General features: G+C 36.8%; 1 protein-coding gene across 4 annotated transcripts in view, besides 1 other annotated feature; it reads right to left on the reverse strand.

The window, feature by feature from the left end:
- Nucleotides 1-26,870, reverse strand: part of MDGA2 (MAM domain containing glycosylphosphatidylinositol anchor 2) — an 835,983-nt gene that overhangs the window by 679,434 nt on the left and 129,679 nt on the right. The gene's annotated exons all lie outside the window — the stretch shown is intronic.
- Nucleotides 17,182-17,749: an enhancer, noted in NCBI's record as "NANOG hESC enhancer chr14:48005441-48006008 (GRCh37/hg19 assembly coordinates)". NCBI's record gives its function as "activates a minimal SCP1, AML or CMV promoter by ChIP-STARR-seq in primed H9 embryonic stem cells {active_cell/tissue: H9 hESC(primed)}" and the evidence as "EXISTENCE:reporter gene assay evidence [ECO:0000049][PMID:30033119]".

The following is a 26,870-nucleotide window of genomic DNA, read 5'->3' on the forward strand; positions in this document are numbered from 1 at the left end:
GGCCAGGAGTGGTGGTGGGTGCCTGTAATCCCAGCTACTTGGGAGGCTGAGGCAGGGAGAATCACTTAGACCCGGGAGGCGGAGGTTGCAGTGAGCCGAGATCACACCATTTTACTCCAGCTTGGGCGATAGAGCAAGACTCAGTCTCAAAAACAAAACAAAACAAACAAACAAATAAAAAACACTACCAATTAAAATATTTTTATTTTGTTTTTAGTTCTTAATCTATTTTATATTTCATGCATACCTACATTCTAATTTAAGCAGCTGATTGTTATTTGTTTCTCCACAGTTCTCTTCATAGGATGGAAGGTCCACATGTCTTAAGTCACCTGTTTTGTTTTCCCCTCCATGCAATTATTTTAAATTGCAATTTTGTATACAGCATATGACTCAAAAATACAACTCATGTGGTCAATTACATTGTTACTCTATCTTAGAGAGTTTGAATTTACATGTAATGCTTAATGGAAATAGTTGATGGTTTTCTTTTAAAAATGATGAGTAAACGCAAGTATAAAAACGGCAAAGGTTAAATTCTCCCAAGTTTTTATTTGATTATTTTGTCAGAGGGAAGTGGAAAAATTTTATCCCTCTTTACCCTCCCTAATTACTTTCCAAGTCACATTGTTTTAATCTTCTGGAGTCATCTTTTCATTTGGAAAAAAAATTATGAGTTTACACCATATATGGGCATTCTTACCTTAATAAGCTATAATTTGTGAGATAATGATATCCAAATGAGTAAGGACTATTTTCTCCTCTTTTTTGGAATTAAGAGATAAACCAAGAGTCCAAAGACATTTTCCCCCATCTCAGTATTACTTCAGGTAAATAAAGTGCACTGAGCTAGAAGGTCATTATGTTTCTTGATAATAAACTCTCTCCTCTCCATGAAGCCAGATAATAAATCAGTAGAGCCACTGCTTGAGAACAAGGGGAACTATTTTGGAACAACCTCATATTTTTAAAGTCATTTCTTATTTGGCAAATGCCATGTCTATACACCTGGCTTAACAGATAGACTAATTCCAGATCTCAGATATTATGAAGTGCAGACCTCTGAGCCATATTCCCTAGGAAGCATCACATCATCAAATCACCTACTTCACTTATTCTCAGGAGCCACTATGAGCTCTCTAAGGATTTGCATTCACAATGTACTATTCTCTCTTTAATGATGTTTTCCTCTCTTTTGAAAAGTCACTCTATCCTTCTGACTCAACAAATATACACTTTGAGAAATCAAGCTAAATGCAATGGATACCTGCAACAAAAATGCTGCCTAAAATCATAAAACACTGAAAATGATCATCCAAAAGCACAGTTGCTGCTATTATCCCACTACAAGCAACTCATGAGATTAATTTCCCAGAAGAGGCTGATGTCAATGATAAGTAAAACTGCATATTATGAACCCATGTGAACTTCCTAACGTAAAAATCTATAATATGGACATTAAAGTGTAAGTACTTTTCAAGGCCTGAGAAATTATATTAGTCATTTTTTTCTATGACACATCACAAGTAAGTGTAGTCAGAAAACAGATACAGAACACAGAACAGGAGAAAGCTGACATTTTATTAACAATTCCATTAAAATAAATGAGCTCACGTCCAAGCAAAAATCAAGAATCAATAAGTGTTTTAAATTAAGCACTTGACGTGTTGGAAATGAATGTACACTTTAGAACACTGAAGGAACCAGTGACCACTCCTTGAAATATGATTCCAATCTATTAGATTCATTACATGAAAAACTTGAATAAACTTCACTTGAGTTAAAGATAAATTCAGATTTAAACTAATATTGACCTTCCTCAAAGTACAGGAATGGTGTCATTCAGAATTAAGGAACAATAATTTGTCAAACAATATCAGTACAGGATGAATTTCAACTTACACGAGAATTTTATTTCTTTTCTAATGCTTATTGAAGACATTGATATTTTGTCATTGATTTAAATCCAAGGATAGCAAAACCTGTCATGGATAAAATAATTAGTGAAAATAACTTCCACTTTGAAGGCACACACATACACAGAAATTAAAATTGATTTCCCACATTCCCTGACCCCAGTCTTTTTAAGGGAAGACTTGCTTCCTCCTTCCAGAGCATCTTAGTCATTGGTTCAATGACTGTAATTTTTTATATTCAATTATTGAATAAGAAACTAGAATCTGGATGTGGGGGATCAGTTTTTAGATGATATCACATGTACTTCTTTCAGTCTTTCTCAGGGTACCTTGCAAAGTTCCCTGACTCATCATTCATGCATTAAGAGCAGTTTTAACAAGAACATTTACCAGGTGCAGTGATGCACTGCTAAGTTATTTACATATATCTTATTAAATCCTGACCTTGCCATTGCCCTCTCCAAAAAACAAACAAACAAATAAACAGAAAATTCTACAGAGCAGTAGTAATTAGGCTCATTTTATGAATGAAAAAATTGAGGCTCAAAGAGTTTAATAATTTGTCCAAAGCACCAAAGGTAGTAATGGTAGGAGCTCAATATGAGATGGGATCATACAAATTCCAAAATGCTATGACCACTCTTCAAAATATCTTTATGTTATTAAAAATTGTGATTTTTATCTCCATACGCATGTTTGTTTTTTATTTTTATTTTTGAGATGGAGTCTTACTCTGTCACCCAGGCTGGAGTGCAATGGCACGGTCTCAGCTCACCACAACCTCTTTCTCCTGGGTTCAAGTGATTCTCCTACCTCAGCCTCCCGAGTAGCTGGGATAACAGGTGCCCACCACCACACCTGGCTAATTTTTGTATTTTTAGTAGAGACGAGGTTTCACCATGTTGGCCAGGCTGGTTTCGAACTCCTGACCTCAGGTGATCCGCCCACCTCAGTCTCCCAAAGTGCTGGGATTACAAACGTGAACCACCGCACCCAGCCCATAGGCATGTTTATACTTACTTTTCAGACAAAACAAAACGAAACAAAAAACTGTCCTTCTAGTTCTTAATATATTAAGCCCCTGAATGACTCTAAAAGGAAAACATTTTCCTTTTCTATTTCTCCTTATTTTAAATACTCCACTGAACTAAAATTAAACACATTAACTAATATAAACCAATGGTTAGAAAACTTTGCATTTCACTTTCTTTATACAGGTATGCCAATGATTTTTCTCTTGCAATAGAAATGCAAGTTAACATGTGAAATAGATTAATCAAAACAACATAATGTTGTGTTTTAATTAAATATCTAGAATATATTTATATGTGTGGGTATATATATGTATATATTTGTGTATGTGTGTATATATGTATATATATGTATATATGTGTATATATACACACACACACACAATTAAATATCAGTAGAAATGCTATGTTCAGTTGGAAGTGTTCTCTAAAGAAACTGCCTTCTCTTTCTGCTTTAAATAATTTTATACATGCAGTTCTGAGTAGTTTTGCTACCATCTGACCACAGAGAATGTCTGAAACTGTAAAGTTAGAACAATCCAGAAGAAGTGAATGAGGTAGATAATAACTAGTGAGGGTGATATTTCTAAGTTTCAAATTTTAACAGTTATACAAGGAATAGAATCAGCAATAATAGCAGAGGTATTTCCTTCAAATGTAATAGATAAAATAATTCTAGTGCTAAATTAATTTAAAAGTAACTATTACATTCAGAAGTTTATCCCTACTTTATAGTATTTCGAAAACCCATTATTCTCATACAGTACTTCCATAACTAGGCTGCATTCATTAAGATGCCAGAATTTCAATTTCCCAAAAAGATTGACACTTTCGGGTAATCTCCACAATTTTAGAGGCAATTCAATCTATTTTGATTTAAAATTGATTAGCATCTTTGGAAATAATGTGTCACGAATTGCTGAGCTAATCAAGGTAAATGGGGCCATACATTAAACATTCAAGAACGTTATTCAATCACAAAATAACCCACATTTCCAAGCTCCAGATCAACAAATTAAAGCTGCCCTTTGCAAAGCTTAATTTCTTTGGCTCATCAGTATTGTTGTGTACATTTATATAGTTATCAAACATTAACAACATGCTCTTGAAATAGGAAACAGCCTGTGCTCCCTACCTAGGCATGCCAAATAAGCAAAGGCCAAAAAGGACGAAAGAAAAATAATGAAAATATAATCAAGTCCATATTTCTCGCTTATTCAGGTTTCACATGACAAAACACCCGGTAAGTACACAAAGTTATTATGGTAAAACCTACGTTAATTAGAATCACCAAAATAGTTCTGGATATACATTAGAAGTTCAACACAAAAAGTAGAGGTTAAATACAATTTAATTGATATTGACCCTGAATTATTATCTATTATTTTAATTTTAATTTTTTATAATTTTAAAGTGATTTGGAGAATGCCCTTAGTTCTATGTGTTAGTATGCTTTTAGCAAAATCTATCTGAAGTGGAAAAAGTGATGACAAAGAGACTGGAATTCAGAATACTTAGAGGTTAACATCTGTAATCGATCCATGGAATCTTCAGGTTGTCTCGATATAAATTCAAATGAAACTGTGAGGGATGACAACAGGTAAGGACCATTCAGGGAAACAGATGAAGCAAAGGCACCTGCACTTTGCTCTAATCCCCAGGTGGGCTCAGTCTCCAGGTGACTCCAGGCCTGTCTGCCTGCCTATATGTGAGCCTATAGCTAGACTAGGGGTGAGTTCATTAAGCCTTCAGCACACGATCACAACAGAGATATCTGTTTTTATTTTGCTATCCATCATATTAGAAGCTGCTTTTGCCTTAGTTTGTCACTGAAACGAAATGTCCCTATTTCTTCCTTCAGCAGCTTGCAAGTTGAAAGGTGTATCAAATGGGAACACAGCGTCACAGTTGAAACATTTATTTTCCTCCAAAAACCATCTTCAGGCAGTGGAACTGACAATACTTTCCAGTAATGCTTGAGGGCAAAATCAAGGACAGATAGAACACAACTGAGGTATGTGGTATTTCTTTTATTTCCTCCTCCAGTTTAAAGGTGCTTTTAAATGTAAAGCATCTTTTCTACTAGATGATAGTTTTTAAAATAGACTTTAGTATGAAAAGCATATTTTTGAAGATTTGTATCCTTATTTCAAACTACAACGTAAGCCAACCCTTCAGCCTAGATTATTAAAATAATGGGATCAAGGAGTGTTAAACCTATTAGACTGAGTAGGAGAAAATGTTTGGGGCAGGAAATAAGTGCAGAGGATTTTACTTTAATGGCACAGAAAATACATTTAAAAATTACTATTAATAACATCTTTCTTCTACCATTACATAAAGACTTATTTGATCACTTCACGCCAGAAAACTGGAATCATTACACTGACAACTGAAACAGAAAGTAGAGATCATTGAAGAAATGAAAGATAATTTAAGATAAGAACATTGAGGCTCCAAGTATGGCTTCTAGAGAATTAAGCTACAGTATGCTAAGATCATCTGAGTGTCCTGAAAAGGGTTATATTTATAGCAGTTTTGTTCAATATATGACAAACAGCACGTAATCTCCTCTGTAAAAAGGAATAAAATACCCATTTAGTGGCGATGAATTATCTTTTACACTATTCAGCTCCATTTTAATAATATATGTCCTGTCTTCTCTCGTACTAAGTTACATTATAGTGACCTGAATAAGTTATAAACTCTCCAGAATAGGCTTTCTCATGTGCACAATCAAAATAATGTCAGGGACTGTGTCTTATGCCTCTTGGTAGCTCCAATGCCTGTGAGGGGGCCTTCCATGAGGTGGGTCTTCAGTAACACTTGCTAAGTTAATGACTAAATGAATGATTTCTTAAGCGAGTTGTGGTCATGAAAATACAACCATCAGTCACTAGAATGCACATTACAGAATTATTTAACCTTCAAGTTACAAGGAGTCTTACAGGAGTGCTCATTAAACTCACATTCAATTTAAGAATACCTTCTACATTTGTGAAGCTTTGTCCTCTAAATCCCAGTTTAAAAATCTCAATGATTGGAAGTTCACTGTTCCATTTTCATTCAGCTTCATTTGTTAAACTTGCCTATGTTGAGTCACAAATTGCTTCCTTGCAGCTTGCATCCTAACTCTGTCCTCTGGATAACACAGAACAAGAAAATTGCCTTTTCATCCTGACAACACTCGAAATTTTTTAAGACTACGGTAATTGTCTCACTTACTCGTTTCTGGTTTAACGTTCCCACATCTCTCACTTTTTTATGGTTTTCTGGTTTCCAGGTCCAGTCTCTTGGTCTTTTATGATCTCTGGACACTTGCCACTGGATATTCTCTACTTTTTCAGTCACTTTCTATAAATGTGGAACTCAAAATGAACAAAATTAAAAGAGCCTGGCTGGCCAGGCACAGTGGTTCAGCCTGGAATCCCAGCACTCTGGGAGGCCAAGGCAGGCAGATCACCTGAGGTCAGGAGTTTGAGACTAGCCTGGTCAACATGGTAAAATCCTGCCTCTACTAAAAATACAAAAATTATCCGGGCGTGGTGGCACACAGCTGTGGCCCCAGCTACTCAGGTGGCTAAGACAGGATAATCACTTGAACCCGGAAGGCAGAGGTTGCGGTGAACCGAGACTGCACCACTGCATTTCACCCTGGACGACAGTGAGACACCGTCTCAAAAAATAAAATAAAATAATAAAAAAAAAGCTTAATTGATTTTAAGTTTTTTTTTTTTCTCTCTCTCTTTTTTTGCAGCAGTTTTATTATGGTGTGTCCAGATGTGTTTTTTTTCCATTATATTTACCCTCCTGGAGTGTACAGACTTTGGATTTGTGGCTTAATCTTCAGTTTAAATTTTTTATTGATTCTGTCCCATTCTCTTGCTCTTCACTTTCTAGAACTCTAAATTATATATATGTAGGCACATGTCACCAGTTTTTAAATATTCTTCTTCATTTTCTAGGCATTTCCTTCTTTGAGCTTTAATCTGGATATTTCTAGGCACTGATCTTTCAGTTCACTAACCCTCTCCTTTGACTTGCCAAATCTGTTATGAATCCATATATTGAATTTTTAATTTTCAATCACTGCATTTTTCAGATTCCAGTTCTTTAAGAAAATTCTCCATCTTTTTCTCTATTTCTTGAAAATATTAATCATACTTAGGCGTTCCTGATAACTCCAAAATCTAAATAATCTATTAAATATGTTTTTTTCATTTGTGGTCATCTGAACCTGTTTATCAGCATGCCAGGTAATTTTAAATGAATATTATAAATAGTACACAAGATATTGCACAAAAGCTCTGGTTGGTCTGATTTTTCTCCAAATAGAATTTTATTTTATTCTAGAAGGCAGGTAAGGTACTGATATCTTCAGTTAAGTGTGAGTTTTGGGATTTGTTAGGGATGGTGTTTTCTTCCAGTTTGCTCTTATTCTTGGATCATAGTACTTTTGGGATCAAAACTGTAAGCTAGTGGTATTTAAAAGGACCACTCCACTTTCCTAGGCACTAAACTCTAACTTCTCTCTCCCCAGGACGACTGGACGGTGATATCTTTGCTCAGCTATTTGGTCTCCCGGGAACAGGTTTCTGCTTGATTTCAAGGAGTTTCACCCTACACTTGTGTAGTGTAAGAATTGGCAAATGCCTTCAGAGGAAATCACCTACTGCATATTATTTCTGGTTTAGTTCTCTGAGATTTCTTCTTCACCCTCAAGTCCTGATTTACTTGGCAGCCCTGGCTGTGACAGTCTCTCTCTCCAACCCAGCAAGTCTGTTGTAAGCGTCTGACTTTATACTTCCTCCTCAGGCTCTCTTCTCTTTGCTGAAAATAGACAGATTTTGGTAAGAAAAAAGTAGAACAATTGTTGAGATCACCATGGTGCACTCTCCTCTCCAGAATGTTGTTCCAAGCCCCATCTGCTTTGAGTTTTCACCCACGTCTCCCAAGATTTTGGTATGTCATTTTAATTGTAGAGAGTGCAGTGAGCTTATCACAGTATCAGCATGCTCACTGAGTATTTACTAAGTCCCAAGCACCATACTGAACAACCTACAAAGGTGATTAAGACATGGTTCCTGCCCTTCACTTAATTCACACAGAGGGTAAGGTCAAGTGTGTGAGATGATTACGGGAGAGTCAAACAGGGTATTTATTCTTGAGAATAATCACTATTTCTGTTTGTTTCTAGTTGGAAATAATTTTGTTTTTTACTTCTGACTTTAAAGCTAATTCACATTCATTGTAAAATAAATCAGAAAATAAATAAAACTATAAAAAGAAACTAGACACAATCTCTTGGTTCCCACTAGGAAACAGCCATTGTTTTGTTGTGTATCTGTCAAGAATTTTATAGATGGATTCTTGGAAGGAACAAAAGAAAGGAGGATGGAAGGAGTAGAAAAAGGAAGGGCAGGAGGTAGGAAAGAAAGGAAAAGACAGTTATTATAGAGGTTGTGTTAAAAATACTTGCAGTGGAAAGGATAATCTGTGAAGCATGTGTACATGAGAAAACAAGTGAGCCAAAAACTGAGGGCAGAACCTTGGGGAAAGCTAAAGTATACAGCAGGAGTGATGTGGCGTGAGGTTGGGTAGTTAGAAAAGAGGAAACTCTGAAGTCTGGAGCAAGAGAACAGAGTTTCAAGAAGTGGATATGAGGAGAAGCCTCAAATGCAGCAAGAATTTCTTAGAAATACCCTCTGCATTTGACCCTCATAATATCAGCCTTGGAGGCTTCAATGGAACTATTTTGAGCACAGCAGTGGTGGCAATGCCAGACTGCAGAGAGGTTAAGCGGAAATGAGAAAGGAGAAATTGAAGACATCCACTACCAATTATCCTCCTTAATAATTTGGACATGAGAGAGAGGAAAGAGATAAAAGGAGTGGGTAAAAGCCAAATAAGTTCTTTAGTTTTAATGCTGGAGAAACTTGAGCATGTTTACACACTAAGGGCAAGGAGTAAACAGAAGGCAAAAACAGAAAATGCTGGCAAGAGCATGAAGCTAACAAAATAAGACTCCTTCTTTAGATGTTATAATATGTAATACGATTACCCTTGACCTTTTTTGTATCCACATTTCAGAGCAAGCACACATGAAACTTAAGGCCAAATAAAACCACCACATCCTTTTCACAAGAACTGAGGCCAGGTCAGGCCTGTTCTTCTCAGTGCCTAAGTCCTCTAGAAGCCTTTCTCCTGTACCTAAACACGGCACTGCTAACAGTCACACCTCTGACCCACCATGCTCTCATTCAATCAAATTTAATCAGTGCTTATCGTAGGCAGAGCATGATGTTAGCATGCAGAATAAAGCAGTACAAAACAAACTCTGTTCTGCCCTCTGAGAGCTTATCTTCTAGTTGTTTACAGCTCATGATATATTATCTCATCAAACAGTCATCATACATATTGATAAGAATCCAAAATATGGAAGTTCTTTGGTCAGTGGCTGTTGAAACTTGTGGCAACTTTCCACCTTCCAATAAAAGAAGGAGATCATGGTCTCTTCTGTCATTGCCTGAGAATAGATTTCCAGTAGATTTGCAAATAAGACTAGAAAATAATAATCCACAAAAAGTATAGACATATTATGGCAACAACATTAAGTAAAACAAATGTTTTAAAAGCTACATTTAACCAGTTTTTAAATGATCTATATAACGGAAAGTATTGATTAGATTAATATTTATTTGCTTTGGGGTGCATTAGTTTTTTTAGACCAAATTGATCAAATCAAATAATTCTCTTCTAACTTTACATAGCCTTAAATAAATTCTCTCTTTTTGCATCTGATTTTGAAACTCATGAATAAGATCATCAATATATTTTATCTTGTAAAACAATCTATCTACTACACCAAGAAAATAATCTAAATATCTACTCTCAGGTACAAACTATATATATTCCAAAAAATAATTTCAGAAAACTTTCTAGGAAAGGGACATAGATCATTACCTCCTATAGTGTCAAGGGAGATTTTACAAACTTTAAACTTTTTTTTTTTTTTGAGATGGAGTCTCCCTGTCTCCCAGGCTGGAGTGCAGTGGCACGATCTGGGCTCACTACAAGCTCCGCCCCCCGGGTTCACACCATTCTCCTGTCTCAGCCTCCTGAGTAGCTGGGACTACAGATGCCCGCCACCACACCTGGCTAATTTTTTTTTTACAAACTTTTTTATAAACTACATCTGCAATAAAGCTCATTGGTGCATAACTTTAGCGAGTTTATTTTCAGATAACCATCACAGAAAAACTTCTATAAATCATAGACAGATATCAACTCTATCCTTTCTTAGAAATTCTATCATGAGCAATTATCACTTTTTAAATTTATTTTTAATTTTGTGAGTACATAGCAGGTATATATATTTATGGGAGTACATGAGATACTTTGATATAGGCATGCAATGCATAATAATCACATCAGAGTAAATGAAGTATCCCCCCCCTCAGGTATTTATCTTTTGTGTTACAAACAATCCAATTATATACTTTTAGTTATTTTATTATAATAGAGAAGATTTAATTAAATAATAATAAAGAAAAACATGTATTCTTGTAAAGGTAAAATTAAAAATCTCTCTTTCTAATTTTTTTTAAACATTCTTAGTGATCATTAACAAAGAACTCTACTCCAGCATTCTGAACCCTTGACTTAAATTGCTGAATTATTTTATTTCATGAAACATACTGAGAATGGTCAGCTAGAACTATACCTGGAGAAGCAGTTGTTTTGATGGGTAGGGGTAAGTTACATGTTTGGCTAAATGCCGTTATGCATGTCACAGTTAGAAACTTTCCTGAAGACTTTTTAGAAGTTGTAGGATATGTATGAATATGACATTTATACAGTTCCAAGCATTTTTCACCATTCCTGTTTGCCATAGTGGTTAGACTGTAGGGAGACCCCCTGAAACTACTGCTACGGAATAAAAGATGAAATCCTCCTGATTATTGTAAATACAAAATAGCATGCAGGATTGTGTAAAAACAATGCCAGGTTGGGCTGCCAGAATGAGCCAACAGTGCATGATGTGCTTCCCCCTGCAGAGAGCCTATGAACAGACGTGTAGTCAGGGAGGTTTCACATCACCAAGATTCCTATCCCAGGAAAGCAGATGTTCATAGCTCTGGGAATGGAATGCAACCCTTGTGGAGAGCCTATAAACAGATGCATGAGGGGCGCCTGTTCATATGGATAAGATAGGGCTATAAATGCCCTCATCTTGCCACGGCTCTTCTAGGCCTCTTTAGGGTTAAGGCATACTCCCTTCGGAGAATTTCTGGTCTAACCAGTTGTCTAGCTTCACGTCCTGTTTCTACTGATTGTTTGTAACCAGCTTTTCCTGCCACTGTTACTGCTGATTAATATCTTGCTAATCATAGGTTATGGAAAGTCTGTTTCTGTTTTAAGGCTCTGTTAGAAATTACTGATATACACACTATATTGTAAATTCTTATCTCTGTATACTGTACTTCTGCATACAGATGTTATGCTAAAGAATTACTTCATCCCCATGTGACCTTCTCACCTCATAATCAAACGATCCTAAATCCCTCATTAACTTACCCCCATCCTCACTAAACTTAATAATAAATGCCGGTATACCAAGTGCATTGGCGGCATCGCAGGACCAGAAGGCAGTGACCCCCCTGGACCCCCTATCTTGTGTGTGTCTATTACTTCTCGACCTGCCAATCTGCCTGGGAACAAAGAAAGAGTCATGTTGCATTGCAGGCTGCTGGCTAGATCCCACAATAGTTAGACGAATCACATTTTCACTTGAATTTTTTGCTACTTAGAAACATGAATGAGCAACATCAAAATGATAGGTAAAATAAAACAAATATTTTTTCTAGTGTTCACCTTACCTAAATTATAAGTAAATTAAGTTCATGTAATCTGCACACCTTTAAGTTTTTAGACTAAAGTTAATTTTCCGTATAAGATTTAAAAACACCTAGGAGCTCATGCCTGTAATCCCAGCACTTTGGGAGGCCGAGGTGGGCGGATCACAAGGTCAGGAGATTGAGACCATCCTGGCTAACACGATGAAACCCCGTCTCTACTAAAAATACAAAAAGTTAGCCAGGCGTGGTGGTGGGCGCCTGTAGTCCCAGCTACTCGGGAGGCTGAGGCAGGAGAATGGCGTGAACCCAGGAGGCAGAGCTTGCAGTGAGCCAAGATCATGCCACTGCACTCCAGCCTGGGCGACAGAGCGAGACTCCACCTCAAAACAAACAAACAAACAAAAACCACCTAATTAACATTACATTCCCAGTAGAGGATATAATTCTTTGGATCTGGTATTTCTCCTTTAGAAAGACTTCAAATATGATCACTCTCAAAATGAGGATACAAGACGCACAATCACATAAAATGTGTATGTGTTTTATGGTCCTTCAAAAGACAATACTAGCAGCGACTCATATTAAAAGGGAAAAGAAGTATTTGACCTATTTTAGGCAGCCATTAGAAAATGTATTATTATTATATATGTGACTTAACCTATCTGAACTTCAATCCCTTGCTTGTAAACCTTGGATAATAATAACATCTGCACATAGAATTGTTATGAGAATTAAATGAATTTATCTCTAGGAGCATAGCATGTTCACTGTTGTCATTCTATAGCACTAAACTAAGCAGTATTCTTTCATCTTAGTCGGGGAGACTCTTCCTTAAACCCAAGACATGTTGATAAAGACTTGTCAAATGTTGACTGCAACACTGAATGCATTTACCCTTTGAAATTAAGGAAATAATGGTTTCTTATTTGAAGCACTTATTTCTATGTAGGTAAAAACCATATAAATTTGAAAACATGTATTCTATTTGGTTCAGAGAATTGTGTGCATTTATATTTAGAAGTCTATAAAATCAAGGGAGAAAGATTCTGAAAATAATTTAATGAGGAAAAGACCAACAAACATATTACTACGATCAAAGCAAATGTTGTAGAAAATTGACCACCATAAGGGTTATTCAACAGAAACCACCACATCTAGATTCTCTAGTCCACCTCAGGAGCTCCTTATAAGGGTGCTAAGTCTTTCACATAATTTGAGGCTAACAGTGCAAAGTGAGGGGAGATGAGCTACAGACTCTTATAATTGCATCAAACAGCAGTCTTCGCCTCTACATATTTATGATTAATTACCAAGCCCTTTAAAGGCAGAGAAAAATTTCCAGTTTTCATCTTCCAAGTCAATTACGATTGCAGTCATTAGCATTAAAGAAATGCATTAGATCTATCCATTTTAATTGGCATTATAAATGTTTCTCTTTCTTTGGTTTTTATAACCTTGACAGGTCCTGACTTGGTCTTTCCTTCTTTATTATTGCCTTCATTATCTTCTCACCCACCAATTTTGCCCTAACAATAAATTTTTCTCACTAAGTCCACTGCATTTTACTGTTTATTATTTGTGAGTTCATTTCTAATGAATTTAACTGTCATCTTAATAGTTACCCATAGGGCCATACCTCTAGCCCTGCTCTCTCTTCTATTTCAGTCCAGTAATTCCAGGGACCAATAGAGCAAATCAAGTTTAGTATATTTCCACTACATCATATTCACCTCCTTGCACTATCACATTAGAATTAATCTGTGCTTTTCAGTGATACTACTTTCTTCTAATTTTCTTGCTACTGAGCTCTTTTTCACAAGTCATACCACTGAATATTTTTTTCTTTGTATCAGTTAAAACTTTTTATTGCTGCCAGTAACAGTAGAACTAATCCAAAGTCATTTTTTAAGGGAATAATTAGCTCAAGCAAATTAAAATCCAGATGTAGTACAGATTAGGTTCAATTCTAGGTTTTATCCAGTGCCTCAAACAATGTTATCAGTGATCTGATTTTGCTATGCTTTCCTGTTCTTCCTTCCTTGGAATAGGCTGCATCTTAGGCTCCATCCTATGGCCTCCAAAACATCATGCCTTCCCTTATGGTAGCAACATGGCTGCATCAGCCCTAGTTCTCCAATCCCCATATTACAGCTCCGTTGAAGTCAGCATCTTTTCTGACAGCATCCACTTAATCCTGGGATTATTTATTTCTTGTCCTGATTTAGGTCACATATCCATCATTAAAGTCAATCACTGAGACCAGAGATGGTTCTATTGAGTCAGTGGTGTCCTCAAATCTTCCCACTACACATAGCTTAGAATGGTGGCAGGATGAATCCTTCAAAGGAATATCAGGGTGCTGGAGGAAGGAGAAATAAACACCAGGAAAGAAAGCAACATATGTCTGAGACATGCGCCAATTAGATTACAAACTCTGAGCACAGATCATGTTGCATACATTCCAGTCTTCCTTATTCTTGTCTGCCCTTCCATTCCCACAATATCCAGCACTGTGGAAGACCCACCAGCTGATTCTTAGTATATATGTTGGGATTTATTGATTGATCAACAAGTAAAATTCCAATCTGAAAGACACATATTGGATCAAACATTTTACATAAATTCATCTGGGACTAAGAGGCTTGGAAGATACAGAAATAGGAGATGATGTCTCTTTCCACACGTATTGTCTGCCTCCACACACATATGGAGAAGGCTCAAAACACCACCACATATTAGAATATAATTTGAAATCAGCATATGCTATCATGCCTGTGTCCTAATTTGGAATTTTAAGAATAGTGACCTCATTACACTGACTGTGTCACGGTATCCTCCTATCACTCCTGTGTATTTTTAATGGATATGTGTGTCTTTAGTAGACTGGACACTTATTTAGAAAAAATAAGTAACTTCTGACTTATCATTTTATTAGCTCCAGAGTTTAGCAAAAGATATGGTACACAGTAGGTCCCAAATATCTATTTGTTAAATAGCATTAATTATTATATTGTTATTTGATTAGTAAAGACAGTAAGCAAAAAGTACAAATATGGCATTCCCTTATCATGATAAATGCAGCTTAAAAGGTAAAATTCATCACTATAAAATATTTATAATCTACATGAGGTCCTAGTTTAAGCAGCCTAAACCTTTTCCACTATAGTAATTAAATGGGTCTGGATATGTGTAGGGAGCCTCATGTAACTTAGAAAACTACTGGGAAAAAAAGTATCCAATGGGTGAGACATGGGGCTCAATAGAAGTTCAAAGACAGTGAGCTAATTTTGGTTAGGTAAGAGTGCTTTAAAATAGGGGAAACATCTATTACTCGGGTTGATTTATAGCCCAGTCTTCATGAACTCATAATATTTAAACCCCAGAGTAGAGGTGTGATTGAGGGAGAAGCTGGTAGCTTCAATAAAAGATCAAGTAACAATGAAAAGGGCTGGCTTTAGATTCAATAGCTTTGGTGCCAACAAAAATAGCAGCTGTATTAGTCCATTCTCACACTGCTATAAAGATACTACCCGAGACTGGGTAATTTATAAAGAAAAGAGGTTTAATTGACTCACAGTTCTGGATGGCTGAGGAGGCCTCAGAAAGCTTAAAATCCTGGTGGAAGGGGAAGCAGGCATGTCTTACATAGCAGCAAGTGAGAGAGAGCCAGGAGAAACCGCCACTTACAAAACCATCAGATCTCGTGAGAACTCGCTCATTATCACAAGAATAGCATGGAAGAAACCACCCTCATGCTCCAATCACCTCCCACCAAGTCCCCCCCTCCACATGTGGGGGTTATAGTTTGAGATGAGATTTGGGTGGGGACCCAGAGCCTAACCATATCAGTAGCTTCAAAAGCACAGGTTGTCCTGGCACTCTGAACCAAGTCTGGTATATTGCGGCACCAATAGCAGAAAAGGTAGACAATATCAGATAACACATGACAAATTTTAGAACTACAGTGAAACATATAATGGAAAACCTCCCCAGTAACTCCCAGACTATCTGGAGAGAAACTGAAGCACCTAAATGTCTCACAGATCCGTTTGGACACAGCTGAAGGAACACAATATTGCTGCTCCTGTTGCAGCTGTTTTTGAATGCCACTCAGCTAAATCCTAGGAAAATCCAGATTGTGTCTCAAAATTAGAAACTGAATTGTGAAAAGTTCTATTTTAATATGTCAACATGTTTTTTACTTCTGTTTCTTCAGAACCTATTTGTCAACGTTAGGATTTCCAGGTGTTGGGTATTCAGTCTGTATTTTAATTCCTAACAAAATGAAAAAAAAAAATTAAAAAGCAGCTATGTACATTCCATTTATATCACTTACACAATTTCTTTCATATAACAGGACAATTACTTGCTTTTGATGGTTCTAAGAGCAGAAACACGATGTCCTTTTTAGGGCAAATTCATTGTTCTGGAAGAAGCCATTTTGTTTTCCTCTCTTGGGCATGCAGATGTAAGTTAGGTACTAGTTTATTTAGGTTAACACCTAACTTTGGGAAATTAAGTCAAATGCAAACAGTATAAATGGAATGGAAGTAATGTCATGTCTTATATTAGCAGTCAGGCAAAGGGGCTGCTTTTGTGAAAGACTTTGAGAGGTAACTGGCAGTCATTGTGAGGAGTTTGCCATTTTTCTCCAAGACTACAGGCCAGGGTTTAGTCAGCTCTGTGTTAGAAAGGACGTGGAAGAAGTGGCTCTGAGTCGGGAAGGAGTGCATTTCAATAATAAAGTGACAGGCTAAAAATAGAAGCAGATAATGGAACTCAGAAGTGGTGATGTTTGATATAAGTAAATTCAAACAAAAAGGAGGACACAAATAAACATGAAATAGGTGCAGACTGAAATTTTTCATCTTCTTTAACTTCCAGTACAATAGTTCTAAAGGCAGTGTTCTTCATAATAAAAGCCACTGAATCAATCAAAATTTTAGACACAAATGTGATACATAACAAACCACCCACAAACTCAGTGGTTTAAAACAACAATTGTTTATTCTCACTCCCATGACTGCCAGTCGGCTGGGGATTGGCTGGTCTAGGCTGCTGTCAGCTAGTCTTGCCTTCCAAGAGGGCTTCACATGTCTCTTTTACTTCTTGGAGGAAGAGGTTAACTGAGCCCTCATGGCAATGGCAGAACCCAGGAGGGCAAGCCCAGGCATACCTTGAAAGTCATTAAGTGTGTCCACATCTGTTAACATCTCATTGATCCAACCAAGTAACATGGCTGAACTCAAATCAAGAAATGGAACCCTCCCTCTAGGTGGAGAAACTACAAAGACCCAAAACAATGGGTGTGGATGTAAGGTAGGGTGAAGAATTAGGGTGGAAAATTCAATCTATCACAAAGACACAGTCAAGCAAATACAAATTACCAAATGAAATATGTACAAATGAATCATTAAAAACAAACTTAAAGGTATATTTCTCCTCCAGATGGTGGTTGTATATTTATAGAGCACATCTGTGATCTGGGGGATTGTATGTCCAAAGGTGATGTAAATATTAGCACAAAGAAATGAATAAGTAATAATTGTCCTATGTTCTGTCTATTCTGAAGTATGGAGGTAACTGTGAGTCTCACATTGCTGCAGCAGATGGGAGTTTCCAAGCATTTTGTCACTTAAGAGTTAAGAGTTTACAAGTCCTCTATTGACTTGTTAATCACACCAATCAACCATCATACCAGTTTTAACAATGGAGAAGAATAAGTACCAGAATATATTTATACCGTTGTAAGAAATAATTGGGAGTTTGTAATGAAGTGAAAATTATCCAGCAAGACAATCCAGAACTACTACTAACTTTTTTTTTCCTTTGAGATGGAGTCTCGCTCTATTGCACTACTACTAACTTCTATGAATAGTAAAAGGATTTTACTTAAACCATTTCCCCTTTGCCCTGATAAATGAGTACTGGCAGCAGGCTGCACTGTTTCTAAACAGGAAATGGGTTAAATAACCAATAGTTTTAATAGCTAAGCATATATATTCCATATAGCCTTGCCATCAAGAGATTTCAGAGGTCCAATTTCCCTAAATGTATGACCTTGCCTTAAAGTTAGCCACATAACAAAAGAAGTAGACATCTTTCTGTCTGTTCAAAAGTAAAATATGACACTAAATTCATGCATGTAATTAAAGCTTATAGACCACTTTATGGAAGAATGGCAGACTTAACTGGTTAATCCATGAAGAAAAAAAGACTTTGAACAGATGTCAAGTGACTGTGAAAAAATTTGAGAACTGTAGCATCTAGAAATGGAAGTTCCTTCAAACGTGCAACCGTTACAAATTCTGCCAACTGTCATTCTCAGCAAACTATCGCAAGGACAAAAAAACCAAACACCGCATGTTCTCACTCATAGGTGGGAATTGAACAATGAGAACACATGGACACAGGAAGAGGAACATCACACACCAGGGCCTGTTGTCGGGTGGGGGGAGGGGGGAGGGATAGCATTAGGAGATATACCTAATGTAAATGACGAGTTAACGGGTGCAGCACACCAACATGGCACATGTATACATATGTAACAAACCTGCACGTTGTGCACATGTACCCTAAAACTTAGAGTATAATAATAAAAAAAAATTCTGCCAACTGTTGTACATGAAAGAAAGATGCTACTATGCAGCTCAAGAGTTAATCTAAAGAGGAAACCCAGGGCTGCTATTATCCACTGTTACCTTCTCTCTGTTAAAAAAAAAAAAAAAAAAAAAAAAAAAAAAAAAAAAAAAACTTAAAAATAAGCAAAAGCTTGTTACAGTACTAAATGTGTCACATTACTGTTTAAATTCATCAGAGACAGATGGCTAATTTGACTAAACCAACCTTTGTTTACACTGGAACTGATCCATTGATCCTGTGCAAAAGAATTGTGGTTTAAACTTCCCCCTACTTCAGCTACCACATTAATTCCAGGGTTCACTGCATTTCAAAAGAACAAGATTAGGATTTCCACATATTCCTTATGAATTAAAGCAACTGGATGAGTTCATAGTAATAAATATTTAGGAACCAGACTTCCCAAGGACAACATAATGAACAATAACCATGTACAGCACAGGTGGGCAGTTTTATACCTTAATGTATTATTTATATGATAAGGAAAAATACTGCTAAATGCAAAGTAATTCTACCAGCACTGATGTTTAAGACAATACAGATTCAGATAAATAGAACCTCTATGTTTTTCCATTTGCAATTTAAACTATAATTGCTAGACTCTTTTAAGTCCTAATTATTTAAAAGAAGCAGTAGTTAAACAAATGTATGATGTTTCGAATCTGTGCTAGCACGTTGTAACCATATGCAAATATGTGCCCTGGATATATATGGCTTAGTGATAAAATAAAATTGAGAGCTTTTCCTGCCCCAATATTTTATTAAAGTATGACTAAATAATTGACATGAGCTTTCAAATTTGTGAATTATTTTTTTTTCTACAATTAGGAGAATCTGGTCAGTGCATAATTTCATGAGTGTTAAGTAAGCATCTAAAAAGTCGACTTCATTATTCAACTACCAGGTGATTCCCAGTAAATTATAGTTCTGGAACAATAATGGGTAAGTCAAAGTGTTTCAGTCTATAACAAGACTAAGCATCTTTAGAAATTATCTTTTGTGTTGAGATTTCGTGTTATATACAAAGATAACAACACAACAACTCTTGATTGGGTGGTCCTTAAAGGCAGCGTTTTCTCACACTCAAAACATCTCTAACTCTCCCTATCAGATGTACTTGACCTTCCTATTACATTTACTCTGTCACTTCCATCATAAGTCTTACCACATGATGTGATTGTGTGTGTATATGTTTCTTTCTTTTTCTCTCTCTCTCCCACTGAACTCTAAGATATTTGAAAGGTAAAAATCCCCTTGTCTACTCTACCCTATGTGATTAGCATAGCAATTATACAGCACGTATCTGGGTGCCAGCACTTAATTAGTGATACACACGTATGCATACACATATTCTCTCTCTCCCATATATATTATATAAATCAGGGCTCATTATATATCTCAGGGGTAACGGAGTACCTAAGAAGGAACAACTTGGGTAAGTGGGAGACCTCCCCAAGTCTAGGATTCAGATCACTGGAGAAGGTATGGCTGCAGCCCGGTAGATAGTGGAGAAGTCTGCTGAATTGTCCAGACCAGAATTGATCCACATTTGTCTAGCCTAGTGGAAACTTCCCTCAGGGTACAGGCTGGTGAGGGCTGGTTGGTGCACACACAAATGGAGTCAGAGCATTGGAGCTTGCTCACCAGCAGAGCAGCAGGAGACCAACTGTACATAGGAGACCATCTATAAACCAGGGACAGCCACAGCAAGAACCTGGTGCCCCGGACTGCATGCACTGGGTGTGTGGCTAAAGCAGAGTGCCACCGGATGTTCCCATGCAGGCATTCTTGCAATAGTAGCAAAAAGCAAAACCAAATCACACCAGAACCAGGAAAAGAAACCCTTTTCCTTCTGCAATGTTGCTTTAGTGCCCTCTACTGACAAAGCTTAATTTTAAGATGTACAAAGGAGAAACACTTGGAGGGTCTAACTCCATTACAGCGGAGCAGATAATGAAGGGTGGCTATGGAGCTGACAGGCAGTGAATAGATACCCAGAACATCACTCAACAATCAAAAGAGGAATTTGTACTCAACAAGCACCCATTTTAAGACCTGATCATTTCTATTCTGTTATCTTTGGGACCTACCTGCATCCTTTCTTCCAAACAATCGATCACAGTGAACTATACAGATTGTTTAAAGAGCACAGTTTACCCTTACTTGTATCTGAGAGAAGTGGGGGATAGTTATATAAGGTAAATCATATCCAGCTTCATGGTGTAGCTTAGAGTAGATTTGGCATAAACTCACTTTCTTTACAGCCTAATATTTACAGTTATATATGGTTCATACCACAGTCAGTGAAAGCTGAAGTAGTAGCAGTCACCTGTAAGGCGTTCCAAATCTGGACCCTTGTTACTTCTCCCACTGGTTCATTCCATGCTCACCACACTGGCCTCGTCAAGGTTCCTAGAACACACTAGCAAATCCATTCAGGGCATCTGCCCTTGGTTTTGCCCTCTGCTCAGAACTCTTTTCCTTAAAAGAGCCACAGGGATCATCCACTCATTTTCTTTTTCTTTTTTTTTTGAGACGGAGTCTCGCTGCCGCCCAGGCTGGAGTGCGGTGGCACGATCTCGGCTCACTGCAGGCTCCGCCCCCCGGGGTTCACGCCATTCATCTGCCTCAGCCTCCCGAGTAGCTGGGACTACAGGCGCCCGCCACCTCGCCCGGCTAATTTTTTGTATTTTTGGTAGAGACGGGGTTTCACCGTGTTAGCCAGGATCGTCTCGATCTCCTGACCTCGTGATCCGCCCGCCTCGGCCTCCCAAAGTGCTGGGATTACAGGCGTGGGCCACCGTGCCCGGCCCATCCACTTATTTTAAAGTGACTCAAGTGGTACTTCCACAGTAAGACTTTTCCTAACTATCCTATTTAAAATAGCAAGCCACTGATACTTCCTGTCCCCTTTCCTGCTTTTTCTCTTAAGCATTTATCACCAACACACACACTCCGTCCCTCCCCTATTTTTTCTTTCTGTGTGTATACGTGTGTGTGTTTGTATATGTATATGTATATGTGTGTGTGTGTGTGTGTGTATATATATATATGTATATATATACACACACACATAGAGAGAGAGACAGGATCTTGCTCTTTCACTCAGGCTGGAGTTCAGTGTGTGCTCATAGCTCACTGTAACCTCAAACTCCTGAGGTCAAGCAATCCTCCTGCCTCAGCCTTCCAAGCTAGGACCACAGGTATGCACCCCCATGCCTGGCTAATTAAAAACATGTATTTTTTTAGATACAGGGTCTCACTATGTAGTGCAGGTTGGTCTTGAACTCCTGATCTCAAGTAATCCTCCCAGCTTGACCTCCCAAAGTGCAAGGATTACAGGTATGAACTACTACACCCAACCACACTATATATTTTATTTGATTGGTAATTATCTGCCATGCACATTAAAACACAATCACCATGAAGGAATTTTTTTCTGGTTTCTTCACTATATTATATTTTATGTCCTAGATTACTGCCTGATCAGTAAATACATGTCAAATGACTCATCCTACAATCTAAGATTAGATTATTGCTTGCTCCTTACTTCAGATTTCAAAAAATTCAAATCCACCTAGATACCAAGGCAGACAAATGACTGAAGCAGGCTGGGGTGAGTCCCTGAGTGAAGTGATGAATGTGTGTCTGAAAAGAGTAATTATTTATGATCTCTACTGAAAATTGTGACCATATAGGAATAAGAATCATGTATTGTCATTTTCAGACTTTTCAAAAGTGGAATAAAATGAGCACTTTGGGGTATAATCTAGTCTGTAAATGTAGGCACTAATTCAATTTGAGAACAAGAAGAATCCAAAAATAAAACCAAAACACTTTGCAAGACAAACGAAATATGTCCAGAGGCAGAAAGCAGTCACAGCAGTTAGGAGGCCACATAATTTTCCCATGCTTGGGGTATATTAATTTAATTCCTCGTTTGGTTTCTAAATTTACCCTTTCTGTACTGATGCTCAAACTCTTAATGTTGCAGTTCTCTCTCTTACCCATAAGCTCTTGTCCCCATAAAGACATCACTGTCTCTTCCCTTTTTCCTCTTTACATTCTCTATTCTTTCAGCCTTTTCTGCCAGTAGCCCACACATAGTAAATTTTCAGAAGGAACATCTGCTTTGGAATCAGAAAAAAAGTGGGGAGGGGACAGTTGAATTATAGTTTTACCTCTTAATCGCTCTGAGAGCTTGAAGAAATGTCTTCATCTACAATCTCTAATTTTCTTACAGTGTTTGAGTTCCCCTGGAAACCACTCCATTTTATCCTCTTCTTAAGCCTTGCAATCACTTCCCAATACTGTTCTTAGGTTGTCCTCCAGGGCTCTGGCTGCTCCTCCCCTGAGCAGCCTGAATCTGTCTTCTGCTTTATAGGGAGAATCACACAAGGCTCCTTTGTCTTCTTCGGAAAGTAAAATACTGGTGCTGTCACTCATTTTACCACATACTGTTCTGGATTACTGAACTGCTCTCTCAACGCATTATCATCTACTTTCCTTACTTCGTCTAACACAAAAGGGAAAGAAGAAGAAACTGACTAATATAGAGACACAGAGAGAGAAAGAGTTAGGAAAAGAGAAAGACACAAAGATAGGAAAACCATGAAGGAGGAGGATAAGGAATAAGAAACAATTATTATTTTGTTACGAATTATCCCTCATTCAAGGCAAAAGAATGGATGATGTAGCCTTAAAGCATAATCTTAAAGCACCACTTGTGTTCCATGATTCTGCGACTACATGGTCATAATAAATAATTAAGATTGTATTTTATAGGGAGCCAAAATATTTATTTTTTGAAAAGCACATGTTTCTCCTTAGGATATTCTACTCACAATATCTTCTGTTATTATGCCTTTAACAGACATTTAAAAACTCATCTTTATTTCTGAAAAGATTTGTATTTAGACAATTTCCTGTGAGTTTTGTAAAAACCTCTGAGAAGCAATTCGATGAATCGGTTGGTACACAATATAAGTCAGAGGTTGATTATGATTAGTGTAGTTGATGCTTTTTCAGTTTTTATTTAATTTTAGTGATATTTATACTCTTACTGGTAAATTCAGAGTCAAGACTGTTACTATATCCTTTACACTCTAGTATAGTTTAAAGAGAGACAGTATTTTAAGTCATTAGTAGGTTGAAGACATAATAATATCATTTAAAAATTGCTATGTACCTACAAGTCAACTGGAGTAAAAATAAACCAGTTAAATCAGATTTTAAAAAAATTTTGACAAAACAATTCTAAGGTGCTATTATAAAAATGCTACTTTATATACATTTTAGTATTGTTTTATTTTAATTAACAAGCAATAATTGCTTCTTATATTTGGCATTAACTAATTTGTGGATATTGACAACTGGATAATACAAAGATGTGTCAGACACTGTGTTGAATTAGAAAATAGATGTATAGGCTGGGTGCACTGGCTCACACCTGTAGTTCCAACACTTCAGGAGGCCAAGCTAGGCAAATTGCTTGAGCCCAAGACTTTGAGACCTTCCTGAGAAACATGGCAAAAACCTGTCTTTACAAAAAAATAGAAAAATTAGCCAGGCATGGTGGTGCACATCTGTAGTCCCAGCTACTTGGGAGCTGAGGTGGGGCAATCACTTGAGCCTGGGAGGTCGAAGCTGCTGTAAGCCATGATTGCACCACTGCACTCCAGCCTAGGTAACACAGTAAGACCCTGTCCCAGCGACAACAGCAGAGAAAATAGATCTATAAAAGTATTTTATCTTTTAGGTTATAGAGTAATGCACGCACTCTAAAAAAACAAAAAGAATGGGAAGTAGAAAAATATTTAAAAAATGCAGAAAATAATAATTGCAATTATGAAAGTGTGACAAACAACATCAGGAACGGAGTTCACTGTCTCATGGATTATTATAATTTGCCTTATTGTCTTAAGATGTACAAGCAGAAAGTAAACACTAACCTTGAAATAAGGAGATGGCTGGTTAAATCGTTGACACTTCAGTATAAAAGAGTTTAGGACATAAGCATGATCCAAAGCAATGAACTGAATATAACTTCTGAGCAGATGACACCATCAATTTTCTAGTTTTTCCACATGGTTAATAAGTTAATGACCCTTGTTCTTGCCACTTCAAATGAATATACTCAGATAATTCAAAAATATCTTGTGTTCACTCATGCACCCTGCTAGAGGTATAGTCATAAATCATCTAATCTAGTCACCAGACTTCATAAAAATCTATAAATCATCAAGGGAGATGTTTTGAAAGATGCTATCTAAGAGATTAAGCACTAAAATATCATTTGGCAAAGTGAAAACTACAGAGCATTAGTCCAGTGAGCTTTCTAAGTATAAAGAAGAGCAGGGGTCGGTTTCTTAACCTTCTCTGCCAGAGTCCAGAGTCCCAAAATATGTAACATAGAAAGGCTTTGAGAACATGTATTGCAAAAAACCTGATTAACTTTGTTTAATCCAGTGTCTTTCCATTATATTTACTAGGAAACATTTAGCCAAACTTCTTTGGTCCTCCTCAGGCATATCTTGAAGCTTTGAGAACGGGTCTTATAAAGTTCTAATACTAAATATAGTCAAAAGAATTAAAGATAATGTCCACACATTTGAAATATAAAGACTATAGAAAGTATGTCAGAGACTAAATTTTAAGATTAATATCACCAGTGAGAAAATAACTGTTATTAAAAGTCAAATTGTGTTCATGCCTAACCAGTCATGAGACTACGTGTGTAAGCTCCCTGATTTTTAAAAAAACCATTAGCAGGTTAAAGTGCATTTTACTAACTTGCTTTCCTAAGGTAAAATATACAATTTTCCTATTTAAAACTTGTAGTTATGGGCTAACAACTATAATAAAATATATGCTTCCTAAATTGCATATTTTTTTAATTGCCAGGAAAGCTCAATGTGAGGTAATTGTTGCCTCTTCAAATCCAATTCTGAATGAATGGGTGGATGGGATATGTCAATCATGTGTCTGCCAAGCCTAATACTCCCCTCTCCAGCAAAGATGCTTCCTCGTAAGATAGTGCTATGCTGTTTGTTTTTTTGTGTGTGTTTGCTTTGTTGTTAATGCTATTGGTTGGTTTATTTTTTGTACAGAGGGTAGTCACTGATGGGTCCAGAGGAGTACACTGAATACCAGGTCAACTGGTTAATGACCTGTGAAGTGCTGGGCTGTGAGGACTCTGTCTTCCCACAAGAGGTGAGGTTAATTAGCAAAGCCAATCACATTGTTTCTCCCATCCAGTCTGTACTAGATAATACAAAGAAGACTGTCTAATGGGATCAAACCTGTAGATACCATGACAGTAATATTACAGGGCCAATATGAAATAGCTTATTCCCAGAACCCTTTAGATCACCAAGGATGGCTGCAGTTTCAGACTGGATTTATTTTTAAAAGTAAAACAATCTTTTCTAAATTTAATCTAATTTACTAACAGAATGATACCAAGGTAAGTGAGTATAAAATTATTATCTAAATTCTGTGCCAACCAAAATTGATTTTAATTTTTTAAGAAAGAAGAATCATTTTCATTATTCAACTATGCAACACCAAGTTCAATATTTAAATGAAAAATGCTGGCCTTCTATTAGTATTGTGAAAATCTGTCAGGTTCTGTGACAAATGAGTTTCATATCCATGAATTAATCTGAAGTCACTGTTGGCTGTGTTTAATACTTGTGCAAAAAAAGAGAACAAAATAGGAAGGCTGATGCCACTAAAAGCTGATGTCTAAATCCTAAATGCATTTAAGTGTCCATATTTAATGGTTGAGAAGCAGTTTAAATTGCACAACATAAAATCCATCAACACACACTTTCACTAAAGAGGAAATCTCCATTTTGTGGTCAGATAGACTCAATATTTGGTTTGAAAACATCTCATGTTTCTATAGATCACAAAAGATTAGAAAGAGGGGCAGGGATCATGTGAGAGAGGTAGAATACACTTTATTTCTCAAAAAAGAACATGTTCATGATTTGATATACATTATAAAGAAGAATGAAAGCTATAGATTAAAGGTCTGCACATACCAAAAGCAAAGGAAAACTATGCAGGGTTCTACTTATAATGTTTTATTTACACAGGTGACTTTCTTCCAACAAAGCTTTATTCCCTAAAACACATTTCAACTCTGTGGTTTCAATCAATGACATTTAAGAAATCGTCATGGTCAAAGGAAAAAAGAAGCTGCTTGGATTCTAACATCAAGTATTTAATAATGATAATAAGAAAAAAAAACAGCAGCAGTCTCATGTACAGTGGTGGGCTACAAAAAGAAATCAAGGAGATAGTGTGGGGGCGTGAAAGCAATGCCCTTCAAGTGCATCTGATCAATTTAAAAATAGTGTTTATTGAGATGCCTGGCTGGAATTAATGTAGCCCACTTTATGAACAGGTTGTATTTTAAG

Source organism: Homo sapiens, chromosome 14 (assembly GCF_000001405.40).
Source record: "Homo sapiens chromosome 14, GRCh38.p14 Primary Assembly".
Taxonomy (NCBI): Eukaryota; Metazoa; Chordata; class Mammalia; order Primates; family Hominidae; genus Homo; species Homo sapiens.